The sequence below is a fragment of the Homo sapiens genome, chromosome 10 (assembly GCF_000001405.40).
Source record: "Homo sapiens chromosome 10, GRCh38.p14 Primary Assembly".
NCBI classification, from domain to species: Eukaryota; Metazoa; Chordata; class Mammalia; order Primates; family Hominidae; genus Homo; species Homo sapiens.
The window spans coordinates 72508578-72520723 of record NC_000010.11 but is presented as its reverse complement, the minus strand read 5'-3'; the positions used below and the strand labels follow the sequence as shown (position 1 = coordinate 72520723).

At 36.5% G+C, this 12146-nt stretch overlaps 1 protein-coding gene across 24 annotated transcripts in view; it reads left to right on the top strand.

Annotated features, from left to right (window-relative positions):
* MICU1 (mitochondrial calcium uptake 1) overlaps positions 1 to 12146 on the top strand; it is a 258740-nt gene that overhangs the window by 105356 nt on the left and 141238 nt on the right. For 2 of the 24 annotated variants that reach the window (NM_006077.4, NM_001363513.2), the window contains one exon: positions 11321 to 11326. The exons of the other annotated variants lie outside the window; for them this stretch is intronic. In NM_006077.4, coding sequence (NP_006068.2) covers positions 11321 to 11326 — 6 coding nt within the window. The remainder of the gene's footprint in view (positions 1 to 11320; positions 11327 to 12146) is intronic. 24 annotated transcript variants of the gene reach the window in all.

Below are 12146 nucleotides of genomic sequence, written 5' to 3'. Positions count from 1 at the left end.
AAAAACATCTTCATTTGTACCATCTTTGAAGCCATCTAGTTAATGAGATAAGAAAACCTTTGCATTCCAGGTATTTGGAATTGTTCTCACAGCTGAGGTGGTTAGAATTGGGACTGAAAAGAGAATTGCTTTCTGGCATAGTGAAGTTTACAGTATCTTAAGCATTCACCTTCCAGTTTGTTGCACAGTAATTTATGTGTGTTTGCCTCAAATGCGATATTACCTTTGAAAAGCTTAGAAGAAAATTTGAGTCAGAAGGAGGAATCATAAACTACTTCAAATTAGAAACATTTTGATTTCATTGTTATCTGATATATCCCCAAATTCTACCCTTCTGCAAGTTCAGAGATGGGGTGGGGAATAAGAAAAACATATTTTAGCTGTGCAACATTTTTAATTTGATTGGAAATAGTGTGATTGTTTAAGATTGATGTTTTACCAAGGCTTTGGCATCAATCCATGCACCAACTAGATAATGAAGTGTAAGCATTAATTGCATGGGAAAATTGCTGAATTTTCTCTTTCTTTCTAACACCCCACCGCATACCTTGACCCCAACCTTAGATAGAAATACTATTTGTCATTTGGAAATGATATGCCAAAATTGTATTTTCCAGAAGAAGCATATTATCATTAATTTGTTTTTGATGTACAACCTCAAATATTACTCAAGGGATTTAGATAGACTTTGAATGTATTTCAGCAATGTAGCAAAATATTAATACTAAAATAACCCAAGGATTTCATCCCCATAAAGGATGACACTTTAATTTAAATAGTAAAGCTGTGTTCTTCATCACATTTTCTATATGCCAAAGATGTTTTGAATTTCTGGATGATATGTAAGCATTGATTTTGCAGACATAGTCCATCAACTTCTTTAACTAGAAAAAGTTTTTTTAACTTTATAACTTGAAAATTAGATCTTAACTAGAAGAAATAAGTTTCTAGATATGTTTTCTCTCTTTGGCTTCATATACTTGAGTCCCAGAAGGCAAAATTACCAACCCTATTTTGATCAACCCTGTAACTAGTTAGGATTTACTGTTTGAGCACACTTAGCGCTCATGAGTCTGGAAATCCCAGTTCCAGTGCCCCTCATGGCACCAGCAACTTTAACCATGTATTTTATAAGTTTATGTGATTGGTCAGAAACTAAAGTGTGAGTGCTTCAGCATAAAGTCATCTGGTACAAAAATCTAGGTTTTTGACTTACTGTGAAGTGTAACAGTTACACATGTGTAGTGTATAATTTGCTATATAATAAGTTTACTTTCAAGTCTTTCTGCTTATCTAAAAAATGAAAATATCCAGGATATGGTGCAGTTGAGATCAATACCAGAAACCTGTAATAATGTCCATTTGCCTTTACTTGAGATCAGTAATTTGAATGGGTTGGTGATACTGTACCTATAACTACACTTTAAGTTTTGAAATAAGTAAGATCTAAGACTAGGTCATATCAGTGAATAGTAAAACAGTTATATTTTGTTCATTTAAGTTAGCACATTGCTTTAAAACATTTTGCATAATTTTCTTCTCTAAGAAGAGGTAACATTGGTCAGTAAATTGAATAGAAATGCTATTCTTGTCATTTGACCTGCATTCTGCTTCCATATCCTTAATTTCAGAGATTCAAGTGATTGGAATCAAGTTTGAAATGTAACTTCTAAGCCACATAAAACAACATAATGCTCTGTAAGGTATCTGCAATTACAATCTCTTTTAAGAATATCCAATTCTGGCTGGGAGCAGTGGCTCACGCCTGTAATCCCAACACTTTGGGAGGACGAGACGGGCAGATCACTTGAGGTCAGGAGTTCAAGACCAGCCTGGCCAATATGGTGAAACCCTGTCTTTACTAAAAATACAAAACTTAGCCAGGCATGGTGGCACATGCCTGTAATCCCAGCTACTCGGGAGACTGAAGCAAGAGAATCGCTTGAACCCAGGAGGCAGTTTGCCATGAGCCGAGATCATTCCACTGCACTTCAGCCTGGGCAACAGAGCGAGGCTCCATCTCAAAGAGAAAAAAAAGAATATCCAGTTCTATTTAAATAATTTTCAGCATGTATACTGAAGGATTGGTAGAGTCTTACCTCAGGAACTTGAAGATGAAACAAATTTCTCATAGACCCTTACTAAAATTTTTTTAACTGAACTGATAATTTATTACCTAATCTCACATTATATACCCTTACAATAGAATTGAAGTGTGTTCTATTTCTTTCAACTTTTATATTAAAAAATTTCTTTCTTATAGTTTACTATATTTGAATTTACTACATATATTGAATTAAATATAAATCCTTAGGTTATACTTTCTAGTAAAAATTACATATTAATATAAATGTGTATTAATAACACAAATTTTTTTAAAAAAGAAAACAGGCCAGGTGCAGTGGCTCACGCCTGTAATCCCAGCAGTTTGGGAGGCCAAGGCAGGAGGATCACTTGAGGTCAGGAGTTTGAGACCAGCCTGGCCAACATGGTGAAACCCTGTCTCTACAAAAAAATACAAAAATTAGCTGGGTGTGGTAGCACATGCTTGTAATCCCAGCTACTCAGGAGGCTGAGGCAGGAGAATCGCTTGAACCTGGGAGGCAGACGTTGTAGTGAGCTGAGATCTCACCATTGCACCCAAGCCTGGCGGACAGAGCAACACTCCATCTCAGGAAAAAAAAAAAAAGAAGAAAAGAAAACAACACAATAAAATAACAAAAAATGTAAATAACTACTTCTGGGGCAGTGAGAGAACATTACTACCAGTCTGATAAGATTATATTCTCCTTGGAATATGCCTCCATATCACCCCTGAAGTGTATAAGTGGTGTTTGCTTAGGGGAAAGAATGACTTAAAATTTAGTAAAAGATTAAACACCATCTAAAAGATTAAATGAAGGATCATTTTACTTGACATTTTCTTTAAAAAAAAAAAAAAAGTTTTATTTCCATAGGTTTTTGGGGAACAGGTGGTATTTGGTTCCATGAGTAAGTTCTTTAGTGGTGATTTGTGAGATTTTGGTGCACCCATCACCGAGCAGTGTACACTGAACCCAATTTGTAGACTTTTATCCCTCACCCCCTCACCCTTCCCCACACCCCCGAGTCGCCAAAGTCCATTGTATCATTCTTATGCGTTTGCATCTTCATAGCTTAGCTCCCACTTATGAATGAGAACATACAATGTTTAGTTTTCCATTCTTGAGTTACTTCGTTTATAATAATAGTTTCCAGTCCTATCCAAGTTGCTGCGAATGCCATTAATTCGTTCCTTTTTATGGCTGAGTAGTATTCCATCGTATGCATATTCCACAGTTTGTTTATCCACTTGTTTATTGATGGGCATTTGGGCTGGTTCCACGTATTTGCAGTTGTGAATTGTGCTGCTATAAATATGCATATGCAAGTATCTTTTTTGTATAATGACTCCTTTTCCTTTGAGTAAATACCCAGTAGTGGGATTGCTGGATCAAATGGTAGAATCAGGTCTTTGGTTTTAAAACACCAGCTAAGAAGCAGCCATAGGCACAGAATAATCTAAAAGTTTGTTTTCTAGTAACTCCCATTTCCTCCCAAATTTTGACGTATTTATTTGATGTTCTTCCTAGCTTTGAGTAACTTGAGAGATCAAATTTGATGGTTTTATGATAATTTTTGTGTCTGTAATTACTATGTCATGAATTTTTTAAGAATCTTCCTCAGAGTTTTGGATACTCTATAAATTCACTTATGAATTCTTAAGAGTTGGTAAATAGATACATAATCCTAAATTTGCCTGAACCACTCTTTAACAAGAGCATGCCTCTGAAAACATACAAGTAACTTCTCTCCCTCTCTACTTCTTTACCACCCCAACTGCAAAAGCATGGAAGAACAATGTAGACCTTTTTACTAAAGAATTAGAAACAGCACATCACAAAACGACATATAGACCAATGGAACAGAACAGAGACCTCAGAAATAACACTACACATCTACAACCATCTGATCTTTGCAAAACCTGACAAAAACAAGCAATGGGGAAAGGATTCCCTATTTAATAAATGGTGCTGGGAAACCTGACTAGCCATATGCAGAAAACTGAAATTGGACCCCTTCCTTACACTGTATACAAAAATTAACTCGAGATGGATTAAAGACTTAAATGTAAGACCTAAAACCATAAAAACCCTAGAAGAAAACCTAGGCAATACCATTCAGGACATAGGCATGGACAAAGACTTCATGACTAAAACACCAGAAGCAATGGCAGCAAAAGCCAAAATTGACAAATAGGATCCAATTAAACTAAAGAGCTTCCACACAGCAAAAGAAACTATCATCAGAGTGAACAGGAAACCTACAGAATGGAAGAAAATGTTTGCAATGTATCCATCTGACAAAGGGCTAACATCCAGAATTTACAAGGAACTTAAATAAATTTACAAGAAAAAAATAACCCCAACAAAAAGTAGATGAACGATATGAACAGACACTTCTCAAAAGAAGGCATTTCTGTGGCCAACAAACATATGAAAAAAGCTCGTCATCACTGGTCATTAGAGAAATGCAAATCAAAACCGCAATGAGATACCATCTCGTGCCAGTTAGAATGGCAATCATTAAAAAGTCAGGAAACAACAGATGCTGGAGAGGATGTGGAGAAATAGGAACACTTTTACATTTATTATATATTTTAATTTTGTAATGATCAGAATAAAATACTACTAAGCAATAAAAGTGAACTACTGATGATTACAGTGTGGATGAATCTTCCCCACATTATGCTGAGCCAAAGAAGCAGGACACCAAAGTATATACTAGTGATACCATTTATATCAATTTCTAGAACAGGCAAAACTCATCTATGGTGAAAATATGGTAGGAATTTATTATGGAGGGGCATAAAAGAACTTTCGGAAGTGATGGAAATGTTCCATATCTTGATAAAGACGTCTATTATACATTAGATTTTTGCTTTTCAACATATGTAGATTTTCCTTAAAAAAGTAACAAATGTTGGACTCTAGATGACATAGATATGTTTGTTTTCTGCAGAGATGGGATTAGCAGTTGTGAAACTACTTTTTGTGTATTCTAAGCTTGAATAAATATATTGATGATAATGGGAACCAGGTTTCTCATTTTTGGAGAAGGTAGTAACAAGTGTGTGAGGGATAAGACCAAATTGTTTCCTAGAAAGGAATTATAGGTATCAACATGAATTCATAGTTTGTGATAGCTAGATATGAATCTAATCACAAAGAAACATCAGCCTAATTCAAAATGAGAGATATTCTACAATATAACTCACCTGTGCCTTTTAAAACTGTCAAGGTTAAGAAGTACAAAGAGAGAAAAAATGACACAGCGGGGAACTCCAAAACCACATCCCGCCATTAAACCAAAAATTAAGCTGCCAAAAATTGTCAGTCAACTTGTTCAGATCTCTAGAATCTAACGAAAGACTTAAAACAACCAGGAGAACGCTTTAAAAGAAAGAAGCTGCTAAAATTTGTTCACAGAACATTGTATTTTAACTTACCTGGTGACCACCCCAAGTCCCCAGTGCAATGGCAGCTGTAAGGATGGCGGCCCATGTTCCTGACAGAGTTTGCTTGTGTCAGAACGAGCAATGTGGATCATGTTCTTGGATGACTCTGGATGTGGGCATCAACCTGTCTGGTGGCTCCCTAAGGAATCAGCTTTGAGGCTTGCCTTTGTTTCACCTGCTTCAGAGCTTTTAGGGGACTGGGGCAGCATTTGTCAGAAAGATTTAAAGGTAAATAATACTGTAGCAGCTGGGACAAGCAGACAAACCAAATAGCCTGGGAAGGAAGAGGCTTTGTAAGGAGATACATGGGAGAACAAGTGATTTGAAATGCTTCACCATATACAGGGGAGTGTAGAAGGCTTAGGGTTGAATGAATGTTCAGAAGAAACCTTAGAAGATCCTGAGCTTTCATGTCTGGCTGACATTTAAGCCCCATGCAAGCCGGAATCTTAAGGCTAAGAGAGAGTTGTAAATGGTCTTGCTAAGTAAGCATTGAAGAAATGCCCAATACAGAGCCAGTCTGAAAAGATCCGGAGAGTATTTTTACCCCTTTCGCTCCAGGCATTTAAGGAAACCTGTCAAATCACTAGTTGCTCACTAAGGTGAACAGAGACTTGAGTGACGACCTATGACAAAGGTCACAGGTCTTTACAAGAAGAGTTTAATAAAGTCATTAAACAAACAACTACAACCCACAGTAAGTAGCAACAACAAACCCTGAGGAAGGGGAAGAATGCGATTTCGAGAGTTACCACATTATAATATACAAAATGTCCAGTTTCAACAAGAAATTATGCATACATAGAAACAATAAATTACAGCCCAATCACAGAAAGAAAAAAAAAAGAAATAGGGAGTATCCTTGAGGAGGCACGGACATTATATGTACTACTCAAAGACTTTAGATCAACTGCCTAAAGTATAGTTAAGTAGCTAAAAGGATGATGTATGAACTAACAGAAAATTTCAATAGATACATAGAAATTGTTTAAAAGATACCAAATAGAAGTTCTGGAACTGAAAAGTACAAGAGCTGAGTTGAAAAATTGACTAGAGGGATTCAACCAGCAAACTTGAGCAGGCAGAAGAAAGAATTAGTGAACTTGAAGATATAGGTCAATTGATATTATCTAGTCTGAGGCAGAGAGGAAAAAGAATGAAAAAAAAAATGCACAGAGCTGAAGAGACTTATACTTTAAAATGTTTATAGTGGTAAATTTTGTTATATGCATTTTACTGCAATTTTTTTAAATTACAAAAATGTAAATGATGTGGTACTGGCATAAACACAGACAATGGAAGAAAATTGAGAGTTCAGAAATAAACCCACACATCTATGGTTAATTGAATTTCAACAAGCATGTAAGACAGTGGTAAAAGGTCATACCATTTCAACAAATGGTATAAGGTCCACTAGATATTCACGTACAAAAGAATGAAGGTGAACCCCCTACTTCACATTATATACAAAATTTAACTCAAAATGGATCAATAACCTAAAAAAAAAGAGCAAATGCTGTAAAACCCTTAGTAGAAAAGTAGGGGTAAATCTTCATGACCTTGGATTGGTAATGAAATATTAAATATAACATCAAAAGCACAAATAATAAAATAGATAAATGGGACTTCAATATTTAAAACTTTTCTGCTTCATAGGACATTATCAAGAGTGAAGGGGCAACACACAGAATAGGAGAAAATATTTGCAGATATGTCTATGATAAGGATCTAATATCCAGAATATATAAAGAACTTCGATTAGAACTCAACAGCCAAATGAGAAATAACAAATTCAAAAATGAGCAAAGGATTTGGATAGACATTTCTCCAAAGAAGATATACAGATGGTCAAAAAGCACATGAAAAGATGCTGAGCATCATTAGGTATTAGGGGAATGTAAATCAAAATCACAGTGAGATACCATGTCATATCCATGAGGATGGTTATAATTTTTTAAAGAAGAAGAGGAAGAAGTATTGGTGAGGGTGTGGAGAATGTGGAATCCTCTTACATTGCTTATGGGAATGTAAATGGTGCTGTAATCGCAGTACTTTGGGAGGCTGAGGTGGAAGGATTGCTTAAAGCCCAGGAGATCAAGGATGCAGCCCAGATCCATGATTGTGCCACTGCATTTCATCCTGTGCGACAGAGCAACCTCCTCCTGTCTTAAACAAAAAACAACCAGCTGAGTGTGGTGGCTCATGCCTGTAACCCCAGCACTCTGGAGGCTGAGGCACGCAGATTGCTTAACTCCAGGAGTTCAAGACCAACCTGGGCAACATGGCAAAACCCCATCTCTACAAAAAATACAAAAATTACCCGAGCATGGTGACATGTACCTGTAGTCCCAGCTACTGGGGAGGCTGAGATGGGAGGATCACCTGAGCTGAGCCCCAGAGGTCAAGGCTGCGGTGATCCAAGATCATATCACTGCACTCCAGCCTGGGTGTCAGAGTGAGACACTGTCTCAAAACAAAACAAAACAAAACAAAACAAAACAAAAACCAAAAACATAGAGCTGCCATATGACCCAGCAGTTCCTCTCCTTAGTACATACCAAAAGAATTGACAACAGGTACTCAAACAGATACTCATACATGAATAACCAAAAGGTGGAAATAACCTAAATGTCTTTGAGCATATGAATAGATAAACTGTGGCATATACATACAGTGGGGTTTGGATCATAATCTGGAAAGATACAATCCCAAAAAATCAAAATTCCTTACCTTGTTATCTTTATTTGGGAGTTAAGTATGGCTTAAGGAGCTGTGTATGGGGGCCAGGCATGGTGGCTCACGCCTGTAATCCCAGCACTTTGAGAGGCCAAGGTGGGCAGATCATGAGATTAGGAGATCGAGACCATCTGGCCAATATGGTGAAACCCATCTCTACTAAAATACAAAAAATTAGCCAGACGTGGTGGCGGGCACCTGTAATCCCGCTACTTGGGAGGCTGAGGCAGGGGAATTGCTTGAACCTGGGAGGCAGAGATTGCAGTAAGCAGAGATTGTGCCACTGTACTCCAGCCTGGCGACAAAACGAGACTCCGTCTCAAAAAAAAAAAAAAAAAAAAAAACAAAAAACAACTGTGTATGGATGCCAGATTGATAAGGGATGAACTTGTGGACTTCATTTTAGGTATCAGTAATTTTAAATGTCAACTTGACTAGATTAAGGAATACCTAGAAACCTGGTAAAGCATTATTTTGGGTGTTAGGGTGAGGAGACTAGTGTGTGAATCTGAGTGGATTTAGATGGGGACGGTCTGCCCTCAATGTTGATGGGCACCACCCAATCAGCTAGGGATCTGGAGACAGCAAATGGTTCTCTCTGAGAGCTGGGGCAGACTTTTCTGCTGCTGCTTTGGATATCAGAAATTCGACTTCAGAAAAGTGTATTATCACAGCATTTATTGTGTGTAAGCATTGTGCGTTTATGTTAAAACGTTGAAACTTCCTCAATAAATGAAGAAATGACCTTTTTTGTACTGCATTTGTGAAAGATAAAATTTCTCAAGATCTCAGCTCTTTGGGCAACTGTGTATGCAATAATGACCCATTGTGGTTTTTAACTTATCTCATGAAAAGACTTAGGTTTGTTCTCAGGGTATTTCAGATGACTGCCTTTATAACTGGGGCACATACGATTACTAACTATAGTGATAGGCGTTTATACATTTCCCCTTTGAGCCATTTCTTTATGAACAGTGGTTCTTCTGCTCAAAGTGTTCTGTCTCATTCTTATGTTTCTCAAATCTTCTTTAAAAATGTAAGCAAATATTTTTAAAGAATTTTTATGTTTTCCAAAATTAGGATTTTAGACTTTAGGGATTTTGATCTTTGGGGATTTCAACATTCGGGATTATGGTGTTCAGTGTGTATTTTGGGGGGATTATGATCAGCATCCCATACAGTGGAATATCATTTGGCAATAAAAAGGAATTAAATATTGATTCATGCTACAACATGGTGAACCTAAAAAACATTATGTTCAGTGAAAGAAGCCAAACCTAAAAGGCCTACGTACTGTGTGGTTAAATGGTAAAAATGGTGAATTTATCACAATCAAAACCAATAAACCTCTACAGGAAAAAATAAGGACAAAGAAAGGCTGTTCCCTATTAATGGAGACTAAAGAGACATGACAACTAAATGCAGTTTATGATTGTGGATTACATCCTTGATCAGGGTGAAAATAGCTATAAAGGAAATTATTGGGACAATTTGCTAAAATTTGAAAATGGACTGGATTTGGCTGGTCGCAGTGGCTTACATCTGTAATCCCAGAACTTTGGGAGGCCAAGGTGGGTGGATTACCTGAGGCCAGGAGTTCAAGACCAGCCTGGCCAACATGGCAAAACCCGTCTCTACTAAAAATACAAAAATTAGATGGGCGTGGTGGTGTGCATCTGTAATCTCAGCTACTCGGGAGGCTGAGGCTTGAACCCGGGAGGCAGAGGTTGCAGTGAGCTGAGATCACGCCACTGCATTCCAGCCTGGGTGACAGAGCGAGACTCCATCTCAAAAAAAAAATAAAAAAGGACTGAATTAGATAATAGTATGTGTATCAATACTAAATTTCCTGGTTTTATTAAATATACACTGTGCTATAAATTATGTATCAGAATTACATTTTGGGGATTTTAGGCTTTAGAAATTTTGATCTTTGGGGATTTCAACGTTTGGGATTATGGCATTTGGGATTGTGACCATTAGAGAATGTCTTTGTTCCCAGGAAATCTATGCTGAGGTACTTAAGCATAAAGTGGCATGATGTCTCCAATTTACTTTCAAAGTGGCATGTTGAAAAAATACAAGGCAAATTGTGTAATATGTAAACTGTTGGTGAATTGGTAAAAAATATATAATAGTACTTTATACTAATCTTTCAACTTTTCTGTGAGTTTGAAGTTATGTCAAACTCAAATTTTGTTACCAACAAAATTAGATTTGCCCTTATGTTACCTTCTCAGCATCAGCATGGCCCGGATGATTGTTAGAAAAATAATGTTAGGTTTGCTTCTTTGGCTTAACTTCCTCATTTCACTCTATCCTTAGACTTTTGTCTGTTTCTCAACCTGTGGCTTCCACTATGTTATTTATTTTAATTATAGCAATTTCCCCATAAGCTTATTACATCATTATTATTAAATATTAGCTTCTATACACATTTATTGTTATGGCTGGTAATGGTCAGCCTTTGGGGACCTATTCTCATTTTGTGTATTTTTTCCTGTTCACATAGTTTACCTTTGCAGTATCTTGGGTAACGTAAAAAATGCAAATTTTTTTCTTTTATTTTGAGAAATTTAAATATTAACTTCCTGGTGGAGGGCTTTGCTGTTCTAGTTCTCATCCAGTAGCTTTTTTTGTCTGAAATTTCTGTTCAGTCTCTTGGTAGAAGATCAAGTGTAGTATGAGATCTAACCTTAATAACATACTGGACTATACTCATTTTTGTTGTCAACTCAAAGAAGTAATCTCTAAATGCTATCAAGCAGGACTATGCCTTCTGTGAGCCGCAAAAGAAGTCAGCAAAGTTCTTCTAAGTAGAAGCGCCATCAAAACCTACTACTGTGTAATTGTTATTCACCTGTGGACTTTAACCTGTCCATAGCTACTGTTTCTTATGAACAAGTAAATATCTAGTAGAGGCTATTTTGAATGAGTTTATTGAGAAGATCATACAAACTGACTTCACGATGATTCGTGTGGTACTTGTATTTTCAGTTGGTTAACCAGTTTTCTTTCCTTTGTGGTTTATGATGGGATCTCCACTAGACAGAGGTAACCCATTGGATAGTTGTGTAACTGGATGCTGGTGTGATGGTGCTTGTTGGTTTAGTTTTCATCATACTCCTCTTGAAGTTATGCCTGCAATGCTGCCTCTTACTTTATGCTTGCATGACATTATTACTTTGATTGTGCTTTATTGGTTTGGGTTTTTAAAATCTATTTTTTATACTCAAAATAATTCCTTAAATATTTTTGGTGGTCTAGAACTTGTGGAAATTAGTTTCAAGTCTAACTTTTTGGTGGATCCTTTTCAGTTTTTGAAAATATATTCAATGTCACAACTAAGTTTATGCTTTGGCTAAGAATTCAGAAAACAGAGTAAGTTTGTTTAAACACCCAGGAAGAGACCACTTGCCAGGCAGACAATTACCAAAGCTGAGAACTAACTTTCTTTGTGAGATTTATAGATTAAAGAAGAGAAATATATATTTAGAGTAAAAACTAAGTTGTAGGAGACAGTTTCATCAAATAGCTGACATCTAGGAGCCTCCATTAAAGTAACAGTAGATATGATTAAATTGCCGAAAGTGTGTACGACTGATTTGGCATTATATTTCAGAGATGCTATTCACTCTGCATACTGGTCTGTATTCTGAAGCTAAGATTCTTGGGGCTATCAAGTAAAATTAGTTTTTCAAAAATTGGTTTTCTGAGCATTTGTATAGGCCTTGGAAATAGTTGCTCACTTCTTTCTTTCTAATCACTATCAGTCTAGTTTTTCTTGGACAAAACTGATTTCCTTTTAGTTTTTTCATGTGTTTGTTTATTTGTTTACTACCACGTATACCTCTGTAGGAGAAGGTGGATTGTT